The 25001-nt window shown below is 39.0% G+C and overlaps 1 long non-coding RNA gene across 2 annotated transcripts; it reads right to left on the bottom strand.

Annotated features, from left to right (window-relative positions):
• Window positions 1–1045: 1045 nt before the first annotated feature.
• On the bottom strand, window positions 1046–25001 carry LOC105377693 (uncharacterized). Of its 2 annotated transcripts, none has more exons than XR_001742536.1 (3): window positions 24776–25001; window positions 21100–21246; window positions 1046–1251 (listed from the first exon to the last, which is right to left on the bottom strand). It is a non-coding gene; the product is annotated as an uncharacterized LOC105377693 (long non-coding RNA). The 2 variants fall into 2 exon arrangements; XR_941154.1 differs by lacking the exon at window positions 1046–1251 and adding an exon at window positions 2264–2416.

Raw genomic sequence — 25001 nt, 5'->3', positions numbered from 1 at the left:
TTTTTTCAGGAGTAATGAGCATATTTGGGTTTAAATATTATCCTGGAAGCATTTTCTTGGCACTAAATACGCATCTGAACATTGAAACTCAAATATGTTAACAGATGTTTGTAAACAAGAGCATTTTAATACCAGATTTCACTTGAGTTAGGAACATGTTTTCCACCATTTAAAATAAATAATTTCTATATCTTACAATAGTTTTAGATTTACAGAAAAATTGGGAAGATCATACAAAAGCATCCATATATCCCACACCTGGTTTCCTCAATTATTAATATCGGTTACAAGTTAATATGACACACTGGTTGCCAATAATGATACCCTATGATTAACTAAAGCTTAAATATTTTTATTATTTTTCACTTAATGTTCTTTTTCTGATCTATTTTCTCATCAAAAATATCACATTTCATGGTTATTAGGCTTTTCTTGGCTGTGACAGTTTCCTTATTTTTGATGACCATGGCAGTTTTGAGGAATATTGGTTAGGTGTTTTATAGAACATTCCTCAAGTTTTTTAATGCTTAGACTGGGATTTTGAGTTTGGGGAGGATGACCACGAAAGGAAAGTCCCATTCTTATCATATTAGGGACATAACACTGTCAATATGATTTATCACTGTTGATGTTGACCTTGATTACCTGGCTGAGGTAGTGTTGTCAAGTTTCTCCACAGTGAAGTTTATCTTTTTCCCACTTTTCAGATTGTATTCTTTGAAAAGAAGAGACTGCACAGCCCACACTCAAGAAGTGGAGAGTTATGTTAGATCTCCTTAAGATTCAAGTATCTAAATAAATTATTTGGAACTATTCTGCCTAGGAGATTTTTCTCTTCTCTCCCATTATTTATTCAAGCACTTGTTTATAGGAGTATGGACTCATGAATATTCATTTTATAATTTGAGATATAATCTAATACTAATTTATTTTATTCCTCATATTGTTCCAGCTTTGGTCATTGGCAACTCTTTAAGTTGGTTTCTGTGCATTGGCAACTCTTTAAGTTGGTTTCTGTGTCCCTGTGACATTGACATACCTTCATAATTGTGGGGTCTTTTAGTCCTTCTTAACCTTCTGGCACTACAAAGTACTCAGGCCCAACTTGTATATTTCTTCTGCTATTGTAATATCAGCCACTTCTCCCAGGAGCTCTGGTTTCTTTTAATGGGGAATGTTGTTACAAGCCAATATCTATGCATAACATGTGCTGACTTCCACTGGGATGTCCTTTCTTATAGGCCCTTTCAGCTGACAGAACAAGGAAACACATGTACTAACCCATGTTTATATGCATGTCTATGAATATTTCTATGTGCATATCTATGAATATTTCTATGCGAAACCAGCCATATCTATATAAGCTAAAGATGAGTTAATGCTGATATCTCCAACTTTAATTTTTTATCCCATGGATCATTCTAGCCCTCTGATGTTGTTTATCCTTAACTTCCCTCTCCAACAGTGAGAAACCTGAATCCCACTGTCCACCATCCATTTACTTAATTGTTTAATGCCAGTGTACAAGCATAGTGGTATCAGAATTGTTCAACCACACCTTCATGGGAAACAACTGTATCAACCAGGGCATGGTGCTTATGGACAGTTTCTTTTATCTTTAGTCTTACAGACTCTATTTATTTCCAACATTATTTAGGTCAACACGTTTTTCCCCTGCCCAATTAAGTAGTTCACACATTTGTAACACAGTTAAACTATTTTGTCATATTCCACATTCCACCCCAAAATTTTGCAACCTCCTAAATTATTTTCTAAATTTGTTGTGCTGTAAAGTTCTATGTACTTAAACAAATTCAGAGTGTCATGCATCCACTATTATGGTATTATACAGAATAGTGTCACCACCCTAAAAATATCTCCTGTACTTCACCTATTGAACCCCTCCCCACCACCATGAGTTTTTTTAAATCAAATTATTTTGACTCATAACCATCTAATTTGAAACCAATTTTATGCATGGAAGGAATTTCTCAAACTACCATAGTTAAGACCCTAACAACATGGGTCCCTTTCTCTGAAAAGTCAGGGTCTGGATATGACAAGTCCTAGGACACTGGACAACTATAACAGAAGGAAGAGCAGAAAGAAAGCATGAGAGTATCAGCAATAAATGTCAATCATTTCATAATTTTGTCTTGAATAAGCTGCAATGTGTAATTGCTTTAATTTGTAAAACAAAGCAAAAAAAAAGGTTTATTCATTCATGCAATAAATATTAACTGAGCACTTGCTATGGGCTAGATATCACCCCATATGACTTAGCATAAATTGTTTTTTCTTCATATATAAAGTGACAGCATCCACATCATAGAAATGTTGGAGGGACTCTGCAAGTTGTGTCATGAAGAGTGCCTGGAACATCATGATTCTCCAGTGTATAATTCTCCAGTCCTCACTATTTTAGAGTAGAAAAGAGAGAGAAAGGGAAGAAGAATTCTCATTGTTTTTGCTCTTGCTTTTTGTCCCCCAAGTTTGATCATGGAATTGTTAAAGGGTGATGAGATAGCCTTGTGAGATGTGAGTCCCTGTCTAAGCAATCATTTAGGTCACTTATTAAAAACAGTATCCTGATCCCAACCCAGGACCTACTAAATCAGAATTTCTAGATGAGGGAGGGGATTTGGAGGCCCTGATGAACAAGGACAGAAAGTGATTGTTATCATCACAGAAGTTGAGAAAACCCTGGCAATGTCTTTCTAGATTGTACTCAGTGCTGAGAGCAGTTATGCCCATGACCTCACAAAAGGAAATGGTAAGAAAGCGTGGCATTGTGGTGAAAATGATAATATAATACTGATGATGTTTGTGACAGTTAATATTCATTGAGTACTCTATGCCTGGCTCTGAGCTGAGCAGTTTACAAGCATTACATGACTGTATCCTCACAATGTCTTTACGAGGTAGATATTATTTTCCCCCCTTTTTTTTTACAGATGAATAAATGAGCCTTAGACAAATTAATTAACTCATCCAAAGTCATCACTAGTGCATAGTGAACACTTGTTTTGTCTGACTTCAGAGCCATTTTTCTCAACCACGACACAAAAATAATGACAGGCAAAATGTTGGAGACTTGGGTATCAAGCCAAGCTTTTGTCTTGTCCATAAGCTCCACTAGACTATAGAATTCAGGTATTTGATATAAGAATAATTTTAGACCAGCCATTTTACATGCCTCAGCTTCCCCATGTGAAAAACAAATGGGAGTACCACATGCTCATCTAGTTCTAATATTTTGTGTTTCTCTTTCTTGTCCACTTTCCTCCCATTTTCTGTTTGTTTCAGCCTTGATTTGTATATTAGTTTTCTATCAGAGAAGAGAAAAATGAATCTGTAATCTTCACTTTGATTTTCGTAGTACAGCCTTTCTGATTACATTGTTTAGCTGTTCCATACTAGATAGAATACCAACTCTGAAGGTACACAAAGTTCAATCAAATAAGATGTTATGATTTTGACTATTTCACTAATTATTTTATTTAAACACCCTTAGAAATTGCTGAAACTCCAATTAGGAATTCTGTCTTTGAATTGAGTTTATATATATTTGGCAAAAGAAATATAGAGCTATTTTCCCAGCAGTTTCAGACATCTTTTCCTTACCTCATGTGCCACAATTGAGGCCTATAAACAAAGCCACCATATTAGTCCATTTTGCATTGCTATAAAGCAGTGGTCCCCAAGCTTTTTGGCACTAGGGACTGGTTTCATGGAAGACAATATTGCCATGGACCTGGGGGGGTTGGGGCGGGGTGGGTGGTGATGGTTTTGGGATGAAACTGTTCCACTTCAGATCAGGCATTAGGGTCGGGCACAGCGGCTCACGCCTGTAATCCCAGCACTTTTGGAGGTCTAGGCGGGTGATCACAAGGTCAAGAGATCAAGGCTGAAGGCTGGGAAGCTGAGATCCGTTTCCTTATTAGATAAGATTAACAAATATTATAAAGGAGTTAAAGACCTACTATCACCAAATTCTGATACTCTCTCATTCAGGTGATCAGAAGGAATTGAAGAGAATACAAGAGAGAATATGCATATCACTATGCTATTTCATACTACAAGTTCATTGATGGAAAATAATCATGTGTGCACCTAGCATGAAAATACCTGTGTCGGCCGGGCGCAGTGGCTCACGCCTGTAAACCCAGCACTTTGGGAGGCTGAGGTGGGCAGATCACGAGGTCAAGAGATGGAGACAGCCTGGCTAACATGGTGAAACCCCATCTCTACTAAAAATACAAAAAATTAGCCAGGCGTGGTGGTGGACACCTGGAGTCCCAGCTACTTGGGAGGCTGAGGCAGGAGAATGGTGTGAACCTGGGAGGCGGAGCTTGCAGTGAGCTGAGATCGTGCCACTGCCCTCCAGCCTGGGCGACAGAGACTCCGTCTCAAAAAAAAAAAAAAAAAAAAAAAAAAAAAAAAAAAAAACAGATCAGGCATTAGATTATCATAAGAAGCATGCAACCTAGATCCCTTGCATGTGCAGGTCAAAAAAGGATTCCTGCTCCTATGATAATCTAATGCCGCCACTGATCTTACAAGAGGTGGAGCTCAGGCAGTAATGCAGTAATGCTCACTTGCCCTCTGCTCACCTCCTGCTGTGCGACCTGATTCCTAACAGGTCATGAAACAGTCGAAGTCTGTGGCCCTGAGGTTGGGGACCCTTCCTATAAAGGAATATCTGAATATATAAAGGAATATCTGAATTATCATACGTAATTTAAAAAGTAAAGAGGTTTATTTAGCTCATGGCTGGGCAGACGGTACAAGAATCATGGCACCAGCATCTACTTCAGGTGGAGTCCCAGGAGGCTTCCAATCATGACAGAAGGGGAATGGGGAGCAGGGTGAGCAAGAGAGAGGCCAGGCTGCTTTTAAACAGTCAGATCATAAGGTAATGAATAGAGCAAGAACTCACTCATTACTGCAGGGACGGCACCAAGACATTCATAAGGGATCCACCCCCATGACCCAAACACCAGTCCACATCTCCAACACTGAGGAACAATTTTCAACACAAAATTTGGAAGGGACAAATATCCAAACTATATCACCACCTCCTAAGATGAAATGCATCTACCACATGGTCCCTTTATGGCTCAGATCTTCAGCCCCTGCGAAATCTTAGACAAGTCCCACTGCCTCTCTGAATTAGAAATTCACATCAAGAAAATGATTTAAAACAGTGACAGATTTTCAAGATAAATCTTAATACAAAGGTTCATAATTTGAGAAATATAAGGCATTTGGAAAGCATTATCTAGAGGCTTTTTAGCTAGATTTGGGATGTCTTCATAACAAACTCTATTTCTGAAACTTGACTGCACTAACAGAAAATGTTAGTATAATCAGAACGGCTACACATATGAGCTATGGTTTAAAAAAACTAGATTAGAGACTTACTCAAGGTCAGGAAGTTAATGGGAGAGCAAGCACTAGAACCCAATATTTTTTTATTCTTATTTTAGAACCTGAGTTGCCACTTTGCTTTCCTTTTCCTCCAAATTCTATAATAACCACATTTAGTAAATAGTCAGTGCTTCAGAAAATCTGAGCATACAGCAGTGTATATAGAGGATAACTCTGATTAAGAACTGACTGGAGACAGGGGAGTGAGTTGGGAGGTTGTTACTAAAGTCCCTAAGATTAGTAAGAATGGCACACAGGAAAGCACGGAACGGTGACTGACGGGAAGGTCATAGGTGGGTTACCCAGCTGGCCTACCCAGTAACCACGTGGGACAGAGTCCCAGTTCTGAGAGCTCCTGAGGAAGATAGGCAGTAAGCCTCAGACTGTGCTCAGCAATGATGCATCACTGGATTAGGTCTGTGTCTTCACTTCTCCCAATAACCACTGAATAAATAAACATGCCTTTAGCAGAAAGAGGATGAGATTTCAACTCAGCAAACTTGGATTTTAATCTAAGTTCACCCATTTACAGCTATTTGAACTTATTGTGACATTTAACCCCTCTGAGACACAGTTTCCTATTTTACTGGGTTGTTGGGAGGAAGAAAAAGCCAGTGTGTGGCTTATTGCAGGTACTCAAAAGAAGGACTGTTACTATTATTTACTGCAGGTGTTCCCTTGGAACAGAAAGAGTGGTAGAGAACTTGGAGGGTAATATCAAAAAGCTTGTCTATGACACAGTTTCATCTTGTCTCCTTTTACCCTCAACTAAAATGGAACTTAAAACAATTTTTCCCTTCTTGCTTACACATATATAGCATATTTGTCAAATGTCCTGTTGATAAGAAATCAATTTTTTGTACCTTATATCCTTTTCCAAATGAGAGAAGAGTCTCATAGACATTTGGATAAGAGTTAAAATTAAATAAAACGTGCTCTGTTTACTTCAAGGCTTTCTTTACCATGACAACCAGTACTTTCCATTACACATTCAGCACACCTCTTCTAACCTCCATTTGGCATTGTACTTTTTGAAACAAACTTGATAATACAGCACCATATATTTTTAACAGTTACATATTTGTAGAAAATTAAGCTTCTGAGCCACTGCTTGCCATTTCCAGAAGAAGGAACAACACAAACTGAGAAATCATAAAAATACATAACATTTATTGAACGTTTGCTGTGTGCTCTGAATTTTGCTGAAGTCTTACATGATTATCTCACTTAATCATCAAGAAAACCCTAATAATAAGTAACCAATAAATGTTAGTGGGTAGTAATATTATTGTTGCTACCCTTTGTAGTTTTTAACTATTAACAATAGCTAATTTATTAGGGATTTTTGTTTCCCTGAGCCTCTCCTTTTTCCAAGAATTTTTCTTTCATTCTTCAGCTCTCCCTCTTCTCTTTGTCTCCCATCCCAAATAATATGGAGGGACCAGGCCAAAACATTTCCTTCTGTATAGACTGAATTACGTCTTTTCAAAATGTGTATGTTGAACTTTTAATCCCCAATACCTCAGAATGTGACTGCATTTGGAGACAGAACCTGAGAGAGATGATTAATATTAAATGAGGCAAGAGGGGCAGGCCCCTAACCTGATTGAACCACTGTCCTTATTAAACCAAAAAAAGAGGCGGGGGGAGAGAAAGCCCAGAGATGCAGGCAAAGACAGGAAATGAATGTGAAGACACAGTGAGAAAGGAGCTATTTGCAAGCCAAGGAGTTCTCTGGAGAAACCAGCCTACACATACCTTGAACCTGGACTTACAGCCTCCAGAACTGTGAGGAAACAAATTCTGATGTTTAAGGCACCCAGACTGTGATGCTTTGTTATAGAAGCTCTAATAAATTAGTAATACCATCTGAAAACATAATCTTTCAATTTTACTTTTATTTTTAACAGTTGTTAACTATAATGGTCTAAGTTACAAAGTAATTTTTTATTTTTTTTTTTGTATGTCTACATTTTTTTTTGTACTTTAAGTTCTAGGGTACATGTGCACAACGTGCAGGTTTGTTACATAGGTATACATGTGCCATGTTGGTTTGCTGCACCCATTAACTCGTCATTTACATTAGGTATTTCTCCTAATGCTATCCCTCCCCCTGCCCCCCACCCCACGACACGCCCCAGGGTGTGATGTTACCCGTCCTGTGTCCAAGTGTTCTCACTGTTCAGTTCCCACCTACGAGTGAGAATATGTGGTGTTTGGTTTTCTGTCCTTGTGATAGTTTGCTGAGAATGATGGTTTCCAGCTGCATCCATGTCCCTGCAAAGGACATGAACTCATCCTTTTTTATGGCTGCATAATATTCCATGCTGTATATGTGCCACATTTTCTTAATCCAGTCTATCATTGATGGCATTTGGGATGGTTCCAAGTCTTTGCCATTGTGAATAGCTCCACAGTAAACATATGTGTGCATGTGTCTTTATAGCAGCATGACTTATAATCCTTTGGGTTATAACCCAGTAATGGGATCGCTGGGTCAAATGGTATTTCTAGTTCTAGATCCTTGAGGAATTGCCACACTGTCTTCCGCAATGGTTGGACTAGTTTACAGTCCCACCAACAGTGTAAAAGTGTTCCTATTTCTCCACATCCTCTCCAGCACCTGTTGTTTCCTGACTTTTTAATGATTGCCATTCTAACTGGTGTGAGATGGTATCTCATTGTAGTTTTGATTTGCATTTCTCTGATGGCCAGTGATGGTGAGCATTTTTTCATGTGTTTTTTGGCTGCATAAATGTCTTCTTTTGAGAAGTGTCTGTTCATGTCTTTTGCCCACTTTTTGATGGGGTTATTTGTTTTTTTCTCATACATTTGTTTGAGTTCATTGTAGATTCTGGATATTAGCCCTTTGTCAGATGAGTAGGTTGCGAAAATTTTCTCCCATTTTGTAGGTTGCCTGTTCACTCTGATGGTAGTTTCTTTTGCTGTGCAGAAGCTCTTTAGTTTAATTAGATCCCATTTGTCAATTTTGGCTTTTTTTGTTGCCATTGCTTTTGGTGTTTTAGACATGAAGTCCTTGCCCATGCCTATGTCCTGAATGGTAATACCTAGGTTTTCTTCTAGGGTTTTTATGGTTTTAGGTCTAATGTTTAAGTCTTTAATCCATCTTGAATTAATTTTTGTATAAGGAGTAAGGAAGGGATCCAGTTTCAGCTTTCTACATATGGCTAGCCAGTTTTCCCAGCACCATTTATTAAATAGGGAATCCTTTCCCCATTGCTTGTTTTTCTCAGGTTTGTCAAAGATCAGATAGTTGCAGATATGCGGCATTATTTCTGAGGGCTCCGTTCTGTTCCATTGATCTATATCTCTGTTTTGGTACCAGTACCATGCTGTTTTGGTTACTGTAGCCTTGTAGTATAGTTTGAAGTCAGGTAGCATGATGCCTCCAGCTTTGTTCTTTTGGCTTAGGATTGACTTGGCAATGCGGGCTCTGTTTTGGTTCCATACGAACTTTAAAGTAGTTTTTGCCAATTCTGTGAAGAAAATCATTGGTAGCTTGATGGGGATGGCATTGAATCTATAAATTACCTTGGGCAGTATGGCCATTTTCACGATATTGATTCTTCCTACCCATGAGCATGAAATGTTCTTCCATTTCTTTGTATCCTCTTTTATTTCATTGAGCAGTGGTTTGTAGTTCTTCTTGAAGAGGTCCTTCACGTCCCTTGTAAGTTGGATTCCTAGGTATTTTATTCTCTTTGAAGCAATTGTGAATGGGAGTTCACTCATGATTTGGCTCTCTGTTTGTCTGTTATTGGTGTATAAGAATGCTTGTGATTTTTGTACATTGATTTTGTATCCTGAGACTTTGCTGAAGTTGCTTATCAGCTTAAGGAGATTTTGGGCTGAGACAATGGGGTTTTCTAGATATACAATCATGTCATCTGCAAACAGGGACAATTTGACTTCCTCTTTTCCTAATTGAATACCCTTTATTTCCTTCTCCTGCCTAATTGCCCTGGCCAGAACTTCCAACACTATGTTGAATAGGAGTTGTGAGAGAGGGCATCCCTGTCTTGTGCCAGTTTTCAAAGGGAATGCTTCCAGTTTTTGCCCATTCAGTATGATATTGGCTGTGGGTTTGTCATAGATAGCTCTTATTATTTTGAGATACGTCCCATCAATATCTAATTTATTGAGAGTTTTTAGCATGAAGTGTTGTTGAATTTTGTCAAGGCCTTTTCTGCATCTATTGAGATAATCATGTGGTTTTTGTCTTTGGTTCTGTTTATATGCTGGATTACATTTATTGATTTGAGTACATTGAACCAGCCTTGCATCCCAGGGATGAAGCCCACTTGATCATGGTGGATAAGCTTTTTGATGTGCTGCTGGATTCGGCTTGCCAGTATTTTATTGAGGATTTTTGCATCAATGTTCATCAAGGATATTGGTCTAAAATTCTCTTTTTTTGTTGTGTCTCTGCCCGGCTTTGGTATCAGGATGATGCTGGCCTCATAAAATGAGTTAGGGAGGATTCCCTCTTTTTCTATTGATTGGAATAGTTTCAGAAGGAATGGTACCAGTTCCTCCTTGTACCTCTGGTAGAATTCGGCTGTGAATCCATCTGGTCCTGGACTCTTTTTGGTTGGTAAGCTGTTGATTATTGCCACAATTTCAGATCCTGTTATTGGTCTATTCAGAGATTCAACTTCTTCCTGGTTTAGTCTTGGGAGAGTGTATGTGTTGAGGAATTTTTCCATTTCTTCTAGATTTTCTAGTTGTATTTGCATAGAGGTGTTTGTAGTATTTTCTGGTGGTAGTTTGCATTTCTGTGGGATCGGTGGTGATATCCCCCTTATCATTTTTTATTGCGTCTATTTGATTCTTCTCTCTTTTCTTCTTTATTGGTCTTGCGAGTGGTCTATCAATTTTGTTGATCCTTTCCAAAAACCAGCTCCTGGATTCATTAATTTTTTGAAGGGTTTTTTGTGTCTCTATTTCCTTCTGTTCTGCTCTGATTTAGTTATTTCTTGCCTTCTGCTAGCTTTTGAATGTGTTTGCTCTTGCTTTTCTAGTTCTTTTAATTGTGATGTTAGGGTGTCAATTTTGGATGTTTCCTGCTTTCTCTTGTGGGCATTTAGTGCTATAAATTTCCCTCTACACACTGCTTTGAATGTGTCCCAGAGATCCTGGTATGTTGTGTCTTTGTTCTCGTTGTTTTCAAAGAACATCTTTATTTCTGCCTTCATTTCGTGATGTACCCAGTAGTCATTCAGGAGCACGTTGTTCAGTTTCCATGTAGTTGAGCGGTTTTGAGTGAGATTCTTAATCCTGAGTTCTAGTTTGATTGCACTGTGGTCTGAGAGATAGTTTGTTATAATCTCTGTTCTTTTACATTTGCTGAGGAGAGCTTTACTTCCAAGTATGTGGTCAATTTTGGAATAGGTGTGGTGTGGTGCTGAAAAAAATGTATATTCTGTTGATTTGGGGTGGAGAGTTCTGGAGATGTCTATTAGGTCTGCTTGGTACAGAGCTGAGTTCAATTCCTGGATATCCTTGTTGACTTTCTGTCTCATTGATCTGTCTAATGTTGACAGTGGGGTGTTAAAGTCTCCCATTATTAATGTGTGGGAGTCTAAGTCTCTTTGTAGGTCACTCAGGACTTGCTTTATGAATCTGGGTGCTCCTGTATTGGGTGCATATATATTTAGGATAGTTAGCTCTTCTTGTTGAATTGATCCCTTTACCATTAGGTAATGGCCTTCTTTGTCTCTTTTGATCTTTGTTGGTTTAAAGTCTGTTTTATCCAAGACTAGGATTGCAACCCCTGCCTTTTTTTGTTTTCCATTTGCTTGGTAGATCTTCCTCCATCCTTTTATTTTGAGCCTATGTGTGTCTCTGCACGTGAGATGGGTTTCCTGAATACAGCACACTGATGGGTCTTGACTCTTTATCCAATTTGCCAGTCTGTGTCTTTTAATTGGAGCATTTAGTCCATTTACCTTTAAAGTTAATATTGTTATGTGTGAATTTGATCCTGTCATTATGATGTTAGCTGGTGATTTTGCTCGTTAGTTGATGCAGTTTCTTCCTAGTCTCGATGGTCATTACATTTTGGCATGATTTTGCAGTGGCTGGTACCGGTTGTTCCTTTCCATGTTTAGCGCTTCCTTCAGGAGCTCTTTTAGGGCAGGCCTGGTGGTGACAAAATCTCTCAGCATTTGCTTGTCTGTAAAGTATTTTATTTCTCCTTCACTTATGAAGCTTAGTTTGGCTGGATATGAAATTCTGGGTTGAAAATTCTTTTCTTTAAGAATGTTGAATATTGGCCCCCACTCTCTTCTGGCTTGTAGGGTTTCTGCCAAGAGATCCGCTGTTAGTCTGATGGGCTTCCCTTTGAGGGTAACCCGATCTTTCTCTCTGGCTGCCCTTAACATTTTTTCCTTCATTTCAACTTTGGTGAATCTGACAATTATGTGTCTTGGAGTTGCTCTTCTGGAGGAGTATCTTTGTGGCATTCTCTGTATTTCCTGAATCTGAACGTTGGCCTGCCTTGCTAGATTGGGGAAGTTCTCCTGGATAATATCCTGCAGAGTGTTTTCCAACTTGGTTCCATTCTCCCCATCACTTTCAGGTACACCAATCAGACGTAGATTTGGTCTTTTCACATAGTCCCATATTTCTTGGAGGCTTTGCTCATTTCTTTTTGTTCTTTTTTCTCTAAACTTCCCTTCTCGCTTCATTTCATTCATTTCATCTTCCATTGCTGATACCCTTTCTTCCAGTTGATCGCATCGGCTCCTGAGGCTTCTGCATTCTTCACGTAGTTCTCGAGCCTTGGTTTTCAGCTCCATCAGCTCCTTTAAGCACTTTTCTGTATTGGTTATTCTAGTTATACATTCTTCTACATTTTTTTCAAAGTTTTCAACTTCTTTGCCTTTGGTTTGAATGTCCTCCTGTAGCTCAGAGTAATTTGATCATCTGAAGCCTTCTCTCAGCTCGTCAAAGTCATTCTCCATCCAGCTTTGTTCCGTTGCTGGTGAGGAACTGTGTTCCTTTGGAGGAGGAGAGGCACTCTGCGTTTTAGAGTTTCCAGTTTTTCTGTTCTGTTTTTTCCCCATCTTTGTGGTTTTATCTACTTTTGGTCTTTGACGATGGTGATGTACAGATGGGTTTTTGGTGTGGATGTCCTTTCTGTTTGTTAGTTTTCCTTCTAACAGACAGGACCCTCAGCTGCAGGTCTGTTGGAATACCCTGCCGTGTGAGGTGTCAGTGTACCCCTCCTGGGGGGTGCCTCCCAGTTAGCCTGCTCGGGGGTCATGGGTCAGGGACCCACTTGAGGAGGCAGTCTGCCCGTTCTCAGATCTCCAGCTGCATGCTGGGAGAACCACTGCTCTCTTCAAAGCTGTCAGACAGGGACATTTAAGTCTGCAGAGGTTACTGCTGTCATTTTGTTTGTCTGTGCCCTGCCCCTAGAGGTGGAGCCTACAGAGGCAGGCAGGCCTCCTTGAACTGTGGTGAGCTCCACCCAGTTCGAGCTTCCCGGCTGCTTTGTTTACCTAAGCAAGCCTGGGCAATGGCCGGTGCCCCTCTGGCCTCGCTGCCACCTTGCAGTTTGATCTCAGACTGCTGTGCTAGCAATCAGCGAGACTCCGTGGGCGTAGGACCCTCCAAGCCAGGTGCGGGATATAATCTCGTGGTGTGCCGTTTTTTAAGCCCGTCGGAAAAGCACAGTATTTGAGTGGGAGTGACCCGATTTTCCAGGTGCCATCTGTCACCCCTTTCTTTGACTAGGAAAGGGAACACCCTGATCCCTTGCGCTTCCCGAGTGAGGCAATGCCTCGCCCTGCTTTGGCTCACGCACAGTGCACTGCACCCACTGTCCTGCACCCACTGTCTGGGACTCCCCAGTGAGATGAACCCGGTACCTCAGATGGAAATGCAGAAGTCACCCATCTTCTGCATCGCTCATGCTTGGCACTGCAGACCGGAGCTGTTCCTATTCGGCCATCTTGGCTGCCAGCTGAAACTTGACTTTTATGTGAAAAGTCAAATAATTTGCATGAGTAATAGCATTAGAACTAATATTTTCCTGACTTCATGTAAGTGGAAACACTGGAGTAGAGATGTTACAAAAGGTTATCTCCAGTTCCAGGAAGATGACCCCATACTCATGGGTCACCCACTTCCGCTCCTGTAGCCCATGAAAAAGGGAGTCTCCATGTTTGATAGTGTTTGAATCGATCTTGTTTATCCTTTCAAATAATAAATTTTTAATTTGGTTCATCTTTTGTATGGATTTTGTGGTCTCAATTTTGTCACTTCTGCTCTGATTTCAGTTACTTCTTTTCTTCTGCTAGGTTGGGTTTAATTCATTCCTGTTTTTCTGGTTCTTTATGTATGATGTTAGATTGCTAATTTGAGATCTTTCTAAGTTCCTGATATAGGCATTTAGTGCTATAAAGTTTCTTCTTAATGCTGATTTTGCTCCATCCCAGAGATTTTCATATATTATGTGTCTATTTTCATTTATTTCAACTTTTTTAAACTTATGCCTTAATTTGGTTGTTTATCCAAAAGTCATTCAGGAGCAATTTGTTTAATTTCCATATAATTTTGTGGTTTTTGAGAGATCTTGGTATTGATTTCACTGTGGTCTAAGTGTATGCTTGATATCATTTATATACTTTTCAATTTATTGAGACTTGCTTCATGACCAAGTATGTGATCAATCTTAGAGTATGTTCCATGTACAGATGAGAAGAATATATATTCTGTGATTGTTAGATGGAGTATTCTGTAGATGTCTTGGGTCCAATTGGCTAAAGGTTGAATTTAAGTCTAGAATTTCTTTGTTCATTTTTTTGCCTCAATAATCTGACTAATGTTGTCAGCGAGGTGCTAAAGTCCCCTGGTATCATGGTGTGGCTAAGTCTTTTCACAGGTTTAGACTCTAGAAGTACTTGTTTTATGAATTTTGTGCTTAAATGTTGGGTGCATATATTTAGTATAGTTGTCTTCTTATTGCATTAAATCTTTTATCATTATGTAATGCCCTATTTTTGAAAGATATTTTTATAGTAAAGCTTTTTGTTCTTTCTGCGTTGTAAAATTAATCTATTTTTTCTTGACTTCCATAGTTCTCATAGAAATCTCTCAATATTGTTTAGTTTTGTTTTATTTCTGTTTCTGGCTGCTCATTTTCCTTTGTTCTTGGTTTTCAGCATTTGACTTTGTACCAAGGTGCAGTTTATTTTTATCTTGCATGGGATTTGCTACTTGAATGTGTAGGCTGATGTTTTTAACCAGTGTGGATTTTTCGTCATGATTTTTCCTATACCTTTGTTTCTTTACTTGTGTTTCTGGAACTCTGACATGAATGCTTGGACCTGTGTCCCACATGTCTCTTATACTCTGTGCTTGCTTCTTTCACACTTTTTTTTTCTCAAAGCTTCAGTGATATGTTTTCAGTTGGCCTATTTTGAGTTTACTAATTCCGTCTCCTGCTCCTAATGTCTACTGTTTAACTCATTCAATGAGTTCTTAGTTTCAAATGTGTCTTTTCATCTTAGAATGTTCATTTCTTTATAGATTAGAAATCTCTGAGGAAAAAATTTCTCCTTCATCTCTATTGTCCATCTATGTTCTTTGACTCATTTATAGTACTTAAGTTATTTTTCTGCCTTCCCTGTCATCTTGCTTGATCTGTGTCTCTGCTTATATTGATAACTTTTTCTCTTATCTGTTACATTTCCTTATCTGTTCCCTGTTTCTAGTATTTTTCTGAATACCACTTACTGTGTATTAAAAAGTTGTACAGACTAAGGTTGATGTCATTTTCTCCCAAGGAAAGTTTCCCTTTCCTCTGTCAGAAACAGGCTGAAAGGCTGATCACTTCAATCCAAGTGAGCATTGAGCAGGGTCTGAACTGGTTGTAGCTTTGGTTGAATTCAATCTATCTCCACTTTCAACATCTCCAGCCCTCTTGTGTGCTCATTCTAAATACCTCCCATGAGTGGGATTTTTCTATCAAGTACAAAATTCTATTACTTGTTTCCTGCCCAGTACCACAGCCTCCCATATCACTTCAGTCTGCTTCAAAATACCATTCCAGACATAGGCATGGGCAAGGACTTCATGACTAAAACACCAAAAGCAATGGTAACAAAAGCCAAAATTGACAAATGGGATCTAATTAAACTAAAGAGCTTCTGCACAGCAAAAGAAACTACCATCAGAGTAAACAGGCAACTTACAGAATGGGAGAAAATTTTTGCAATCTTCTCATCTTACAAAGGGCTAATATCCAGAATCTACAATGAACTCAAACTTACAAGAAAAAACAAACAACCCCATCAAAAAGTGGGCAAAGGATATGAACAGACACTTCTCAAAAGAAGACATTTTATGCAGCCAACAGACACATGAAAAAATGCTCATCATCACTGGCCATCAGAGAAATACAAATCAAAACCACAATGACATACCATCTCACACCAGTTAGAATGGTGATCATTAAAAAGTCAGGAAACAACAGGTGCTGGAGAGGATGTGGAGAAATAGGAACACTTTTACACTGTTGGTGGGACTGTAAAGTAGTTCAACCATTGTGGAAGACAGTGTGGCAATTTCTCAAGGATCTAGAACTAGAAATACCATTTGACCCAGTGATCCCATTATTGGATTATAACCCAAAGGATTGTAAATCATGCTGCTATAAAGACACATGCACACGTATGTTTATTGCAGCACTATTCACAATACCAAAGACTTGGAACCGACCAAAATGTCCATCAATGATAGACTGGATTAAGAAAATGTGGCACATATACACCATGGAATACTATGCAGCCATAAAAAGGATGACTTCACGTCCTTTGTAGGGACATGGATGCAGCTGGAAACCATCATTCTCAGCAAACTATCGCAAGGACAAAAAATCAAACACTGCATGTTCTCACTCATAGGTGGGAATTGAACAATGAGAACACTTGGACACAGGAAGGGGAACATCACACACCAGGGCCTGTCCTGGGGTGGGGGGCAGGGGGAGGGATAGCATTAGGAGATATACCTAATATAAATGACGAGTTAATGGGTGCAGCACACCAACATGGCACATGTATACATATGTAACAAACAAACCTGCAAGTTGTGCACATGTACCCTAAAACTTAAAGTATAATAATAAAAAAAAAAATTCTGGTGGAAAAAAACAATCATTCAATAGGAAATCGTCTAGGTTTCAGATTGCCATAGCAGGAACCGTGATCATAACATGTTTTACAGGTTTCCTTTTCTCCTAGAAATGCCCCCACCCTGGCAATAGCAAACCAGACTAACAGCCTACTTTCAGACTTAGCAAGTGCCTTCAGAAAAAAATAAAAAGGACATATACCTCATGTTACCTGGAAAGAGCTCTTTTCTCTCAGGAATTTAATTCATCTATCTCTTTTGCTTCCATATGTTTCCAATACATTTTAAAATAAATTTCCAATTATTAATTTAGTTATATCTGGTTATTACATAGAAGCCATGGCTTCTTATTACTTATTTTATGCTACTTGAAAACAGAATTTTCATAATGAATTTGAAATGGGAAATTTCTCCATAACCTCCCTCTTCAACTCCTCATCAGGTCTTCCATCTTGAAAAATCACAAATTTATTTACCCATTTATTCAACCGACACTTATTGGGTGCTTATTAAATACCAGGCCCTATGCTAGGTTCAAGGAATACAATCCTGTTCAACACATTATATGTATCTTGCCATTACAGAGTTTACAACTGAGTGGGAGAGTAAAATATCTTTTTGAAAAAAAAATCAGCACACAATTAAAAGTGTTAAATGCCATGAAAGAAAAGCATGAGTTAATAGAGGGCAAGAGGCCACTGATTTAGATTGCAGGGTGAGGCAACTGCTCTCTCAAGTGACAATTTAATGAGACCTGAAAAATAAGGAGAAAATTATTTAAGCAAAGAGTGGAGGTAAGATTATTTCAGGCAGAAAAAATATTGTATGCAATAAGCTGAAGTAGAAAATAGATGGTTTTTATCAAGGATTTGAATACATACAAGCTCGCGTGAGAGGGAGCATGCTGGTAGATGAGGTTAACAAGAGATTCGGGGCCAAGTCATATAAAGCCTAATGATAGCGCTGTGGTTTTATATTTTATATTGGATTGTTCTGAGCAAGGAAGTGCCAATTTGCTTTGTAAAAAATGAGTTGAAAGAAAGGAAGAGTTAACACAGGGAGATGTATTAGGAGGCTACTGAATGTGTCTAGGTGAAAAATGGCAATGGCTTACATTAAGATGGTGGCAGTGGAGGTGAATGTCTGGTTGGATTTGAAATACATTTTTAAAAGTATAATCAATAGGACTTCATGATGGAACAAATAGTGAAATGACAGAAAGTAGATATCAAAAGTAGTGGCTTTAAAAAGTACCAAAGTTTCCACCTTTCCATGCCTTATAGTGCATTTCTTTTTAGTGCTGAAAAGTATTCTATTGTCTGAATATACTGCAGTTACCTACTGATGGACACCTTAGTTGTTTTCAAGTTTCAGCAGTTATGAATGTAGCTGCTATAAAAATCCATGTACAATTTTTTCTGTGTACATTTTCTGTATGTTTCCACTCCTTTGGGTAAATACCAAGGAAACCTATTGCTGGATCATATAATGAGCATGTTCAGTTTAGATGTGGAGGTACCTTAAAGGCATATTACTAATTGAAAGAAGCCAATCTGAAAGGCTACATGCTATATGATTCCAGTTATATGACATTCTAGAAAAGGCAAATCTACGGAGATAGTAAAATAATCAGTGGTTGCCAGGGGTTTGGGACAAGGAGGGATAAATAATTGAGCACATAAGATTTTTATAGCAATAAAACTATTCTCTATAATTTTGTAATGTTAGATAAATGTTATTACACATTTATCCAAATTCATAGAATGTACAACACTAAGAGTGAATTCCAGTGTAAACTATGGACTCTTGGTGACTATGATGTGTCATTGTAGGTTCATTGATTGCAACAAATGTGCCACTCTGGTGAGGGATGCTGATAATGAAGGAGGCTATGCACATGTGCGGGCAGAGGGTAAATGGGAAATCTTTGTATCATTCAGTTTTGGTGTGAACCTAAAACTGCTCTAAAAACCCTATTAATAATATACATAACACCTGTATATATATATGTATATGTGTGTGTGTGGTGTGTGTATATATATAATATATATATAGGATTATGTTTTGTTTACATAGATTTTATGAAATATTTTACATGTGTTATCTGGTTTGATGCTCTCAATAGCACAATAAAATCTACATTATTATTCCTTTTACAGGTAAGGAAAAGGAAGCTCAAAAAAGTCAAATGTACTGTCTGTGGTTAATCTAATAATTAATTCACAGCTAAGGTCAGAACCAAATTCTCTAATACTGGTCCAGGGCTCTTTTTCTCTGTATAGCTTTATTTGCTTACAGTGTGTTTGAGAAATACAAGAGAGACTTCTTATGGCAATTGTCAGAGAGTTGATGTTTCTGCCATATCCTCAGTTACTACCAAAGTCTCAGCCAAACTCATCATCAAGTAATTCAAAGCCAATAATCTAGAATAATAATAATAATAATAATAGCAATATTTGATGAATTTTATTGAAACCTTCACAATATGTCAAACATTTAACATGCATTATCTCATTTAATTGTCATGATAATTGTCTGGAATAGATACTAATATTATAACTACTTATAAAGTAAGGAACCTGAGGTACAGAAAAATTAAATGACATCCTAGGATGACAGAACTAGTAACTGGCAAAACCAAAATATGCCAAAGTCTACACCATGCAGTCTATAAGTTCCAGAGGAAAAATTTTAATAGTAAAATCAAGAACAAGGTTATGTGATTGTTAGAAAACTTAACTCAGATTTAAAGGATTGAGATTTCACTCCTGTCTTTGTCACTGATAAATTCTGTAGCCTTTCATGCATTCCTCACATCTCAACCCCTACCTCACTCCTGACCTCAGTTTCTCCTCCTGTAAAATAGAAGGCTTTTATCACATTATTTCTTGGGCTCCTTCTAATTCTGATCTTTTTGGGTTTCATCTGCTTCTAGGTAATTATATTTTTGAGAGTTGGTTAATATAGTTTGTGTTACTGATAGTCAATCCCCTCACTGGTAACCATCACTCATTTTTCTCTTTCTACCTGAAAACCTCCCTTCACCCTAGAGTCCCAGAGTTTGCTAGATAATTCTCAGCTGGTTTAGAGAGTGCTCAAGAAACATCAGCTCAGCTCAGTTGATAGCCTGGCAATTAACTCATCCTGCAGCTCACTCCCTGTGCTCAAGTGCTAAATTGCAGAGGGTGTTTATCATATGTCAGGCTGACAGCCTCCTGCTGTCGGCTTTGATTTGTTAAATATCTGCAAAAGATTTGGTGACTGAAACACCTGGTCCGCAGAACATGCTGCACCATAAAGCTACAGGCAGCATGTCAAGAAATCCCTGCATGTCTTTCTTCAGCTGCTCCCTATCCTTTCCTTTTCAAAGAGAAATAAAGAGAAAGGGACAGCACCTTGAATGAACCAAGATACATCTTAGACTGGACTGAAATTGGTAAGGAAAATGGGAACCTCCACCCTCAGCTCTCTGCCCTGGAAGATGCTGTAATAAGTCAATAAGCAATTCTGGAATTCTTATTGCTATGTGCCAGGATTTACACCAATATATCACCTGCCTAAACTTCTTTGATCTTTACAATGCCCACAGGGATTTAAATAACTTGTCCATATTCACCCACAGGTAAGGTAGTATGGCAGAATCAGATTTGCCTTGTTCGCATCCCAGCTCAGCCTAAGGCAAGCTTGTCTAAGCCCCGCCCCTCAGGCTGCAGGTAGCCCAGGACAGCTTTGAATGTGGCTGAACACAAATTCATAAGCTTTCTTAAAATATTATGAGACTTTTGTGTTATTTTTTTTTTTGGCTTATCAGCTGTTGTTATCATTAGTGTTAGTATATTTTATATGGCCCAAGACAATTCTTCTTCTTCCAGTGTGGCCCAGGGAAGCCAAAAGATTGGACACCCCTGCTAAGGATTTGACATTAGGTTTCCCAGTCTTTCCCTGCTGCCTTGTTCTAGGCAGCATTTCTCCCTGTTCTCCACACCCCAGGCATTGCTATGCTTTTTGGAAGGTAGTAATGGGTTAGCAAGCAAAATACTTTCTGCTGTGTTTTTCTTGTCAGTTATATAATCTCACTGCTCAATACAAGCCCAATTGCCCTTAATTACATTTTGAATAATCAGTATTGTCAATAACTTCTCAACCCCTAGGTTAGACAGGAGAAAGAAGTTAGGTTTCATGTATGGCTAATCATACTGTAATTTTGAGTCTACTCTTTCCTCTATTCATATATAATGCTGACTCTGATTGGGTGCCATCCCAGTCTACTAATTTGGAAGTTGCAAGTCAATGGTCAATTGGCTCAACTGGACAGTATTTTACTCTTTAAAAAAAATAGAGATCATGAAAACCAGGTATGATTGCTAATATTTATCTGTTGGAGTCAAACGTATCTGAATGAGAATTTTGTTTTTTGCATATGTAAACTATGCCATTTTGGGCAGTTTACTTAATTTCTCTGAGCCTCAGAGTCCTCATCTGTAAGATAAAGATAACAGTACTTACTCAAAAGCTTGTATGAGGATTAAAATGTAAGCTTTACAGAGATGAGGAAGCGTGGTATTGTGAAAATGCATGTGCATTTCAACCTAGTCTTTGGGGCTTCAAGACATTGTGCAAGCCATCCAGTGTCTGTGAGTCCATGTTCTTTGCCTGTAAATGGGAATAATAATACTGTGTTAGGGTTGTGTTAAGAAGTAACTCAGGTAATCTAAGTCAAATACCTAGAACAGTAGTTGGTACAGAATACTTGCTCAGTTAGTGTACTTCCCTCTGTTTACATGCATTTACATTTAATTACTTATTTTCTTATATTCACATATAAACTAGATGACTCTGCCAAGTCAGTAAGGAAGGGAATATTAATTGGGTTGATAAACATGAACATCACTAGGAAATTTTGTAGATTTAATATCTTTGTGAACCAATTAGTTTTTTGGGTTTATTGTGTGTGTGTGTGTGTGTGTGTGTGTGTGTGTGTGTGTGTGTGTTTTCTTTTCTTTCCTTTTTTGAGATGGAGTCTCTCTCTGTCACCCAGGCTGGAGTGCAGTGGCCTGATCTTGGCTCACTGCAACCTCTGCCTCCCAGGTTCAAGCAATTCACTTGCCTCAGCCTCCCAAGTAATTGGGATTACAGGCACGCACCAACATACCCAGCTAATTTTTGTATTTTTGGTGGAGATGGGATTTCACCATGTTGGCCAGGCTGGTCTCGAACTCCTGACCTGAGGTGATCTGCCCGCCTCAGCCTCCCAAAGTGCTGGAATTACAGTTGTGAGCCACTGCACCTGGCCCCAATTAGTTTATTCCAACTTTATAAGCATGAGTTATGGATTCTAACCACAAAAGCACATAGGTCTGTCTTCATCCATTTGTGCTGCTATAACAAACTACCACAGTCTAGGTGGTTTATATACAACATTAAATGTATTTCTCACAGCTCCAGAATCTAAGAAGTCTAAGATAAAGGTGTCTGCAGATTTGGTGTCTGCTGAGGTTCCAATTCTTGGTGTATAGATGGTGCCTTCCTGCTGTGACCTCACATGGCGGAAGGGGCAAGGGAGTTTTCTAACATCTCTTTTATAGGGGCACTGTGATGGTTAATTTTCGGTGTCAACTGAATTAAGAAATACCTGGGGAATGGGTAAAGCATGACTTCTTAGTGTGTCTGTGAGGGTGTTTCCAGAGGAGGTTGACAGGTGAGTCTGTGGACTGAGAGGGGAAGGTCCACCCTCAGGGTGGGCAAACACCATGCAATCAGCTGGGGGCCCAGAAGGAATGAACAAGGAGAGCAAAGGATTTCTTCTCTCTCTTTCTTAATGCTGGGACTCTCCTTGTCCTGCCCTTGGATATCAGAACTTCAGGCTAAGTAGCCTGGGCACTCCAGGACTTATACCAGCAGGGCCCCTACCTCCCAAGGTCTCCCACATTTGGCCTAGGACTGAGAATTATGCCATCACCTTCCCTGGTTCTGGGGCTTTAAAACTTGGACCAAGCCATGCTACCAGTATCCCAGGGTTTTCAGCTTGGAGATGGCTTGTCATGGGACCTCTCAGTCCCATGTGTAGGCCAATTCCCCTAACAAATAACTCCTCATCTATATCTATATCTATATATAAGTATCCATATCTATGTATATCTATATATAGCTTGTCATCCTATATAACAGGGAGGAAGATTCTCTAAAATAAAATGATAATTATTCAAGAATGGGCATTGCAATGGGAATACTTGTGCCATAGTAAACTATGTGTGTATTCAGTGAAGAAAGAGAAGACAAATATTTTTGAAGGAAAAATGAATAGTATTACATAATTATTCTGTGATAATTATCCGTGGCTACCAGGATCAATAACCAGAATGATGCCAATCTAAGACTGGACAGGCAGTTGCTGGGAAGGTATCCTCACAGAAGTATTTTTTTATATAAGGTTGCAGCAGACTTTGTGCAAGGCTGCATTCTTCGCAGAATTGTTTGTGATCGTTTTTGTTATCAGGCACTTGCGCATGAGAACTCTCCTTTCATAGTCTTTTCTGGCTCTGTTGTTTGTTTTTTCCAAAATATGTGACTGTATTTTGATTCTGACAACTTTCCCAATATATTTCCTGTTGGTTCTCTCTGAACCCTGCCTAATACAAATTTTGGTATTAAGAGTAGTTTTGGAGGAACAGACTTCTAAGGATGTTTCCTTAATTGGTTTTGGAGTTTTGGGAATTAACTGTTTAATCTAATTAGACCTAAAAAGTCTAAGGACTCCACCTGTAACAGTAGAGAGAGCCCTAATCAATAACCCATGGCATGAACTTCTTATAGAAATATGCACAATATCTGCATTTGATAATCCTAGTCAATCATTTATAAGAGGGAAGAAACTTGGTGGCTCTGTGTATGGTACTTTTGAACATTTTTGGAAAACAGACTATGATGACCATTAGTTGGTTGCTTCTAATGTTGCTGGACAAGGATCAATGACCAGGATGGTGCCAATCTAAGATTGGACAGAGAGTTGCTGAGCAAATATCATCACAGAAGGATTTTTCTTTTTTATGTAAGGTTGCAGCAGACTTTCCTTCATCCTGATTAAAGAAAAGGTTGAGGTCAGGGATGCAAATTTTTACCTCCAGCTCCAGTAATAGCCTATGAGCTTCTAAGTGCACCCGGAGCCAGAATCTTCTGTTCTATAGCCACAGGGCTGAAATTGCCAAATCAAATACATGCACTTATCGTGTGATTGGCTGAATTACATGAAAACTATACTCTTAGCCTCACAGGGTGTCTACTAAGGGCATTGGCTAGGAAATAATGGGATTCTGTAAATTGGGATGGAGAAGTGATGGGAAAACGCTTATGAAGCTGGGGACATTGAGCTTCTAAATTCTGATGAGTCTTGTTTGCCAGCAGAAGTGGCCTCCCTACACCCATCCCAGTGGCAGAAGCATCCCCACCCACAACGTATAGGCCTTTCCACCTCTGTTTCAGGGATTCACTCTGCATTGCCTGAGGAAACAATAATCGCCTCCCTTGAGACAGTTGCCAGGCAAGACACTGCTTATTCTCCTCCGGGCTCACCCCCACCACCCCTTTTTGCTTCTTGACCTATAATTAGATGAAAATCCCAGCAGACCCCTAAAGGTGAGGAATGAGTATGACCCATGAGGAGATGTATTACATTCCAAAAGAACTACTTCAGTATTCTAACTTATGCAAGCAGAAATCTGGGAAATATATGAGAATAAACGTTAAGGGTGTGGAATAATGGTGGAAGGAACATAAAGTTAAGTCTGGCTGAATTTATTGCTACGTGTCCACTAAACAGAGATTCTGCACTTAATGTTACAGTTCAGGGAGTTAAGAAAGGTGCTAACAGTTTGGTTGTCTAAAAATGGGTCCAAATTTGGCCCACACAGCTGAGCATGGTGGCACGTGCCTGTAGTTCCAGCTACTTGAGAGGCTGAGGTGAGAGAATCACTTGAGCTTGGGAGGTTGAGACTGCAGTGAGCCATAATTGTGCCAATGCACTCCAGCCTGGGTGCATTAAAAAAAAAATTAAAAAAAAAAAAAGATGGGCCACCATGAGCAAGCTAGAGATTCCAGATCTCCCTTGGTTTATTACAGAGGGAGGGATTCAAAGGCTTAGGGAGATTGGAATGCTGGAGTGTATTTGTCACTTAAACCTACTCACCCACACTGGAAGAATCCAGAAGACACACCTCTCATGAACACATTGAGAAACAGATTTGTTAGGGGAGCCCCAGCATCCCTGAAGAGCTCCGTAGTTACTCTTCTGTTTAAGCTGGACTTTACAGTGGGAACCTCAGTCACTCAACTGAAAAAGGTACATGTAATGGAAATAACTGTATTCTGAGGTGGCAAGGGCCAGGTGCTAGCACTTAATCATCAAAGGCAAG

Source organism: Homo sapiens, chromosome 5 (genome assembly GCF_000001405.40).
Source record: "Homo sapiens chromosome 5, GRCh38.p14 Primary Assembly".
NCBI lineage: Eukaryota > Metazoa > Chordata > Mammalia > Primates > Hominidae > Homo > Homo sapiens.
The sequence above is the reverse complement of the archived record's forward strand: the minus strand, read 5'-3'. Positions and strand labels throughout refer to the sequence as shown.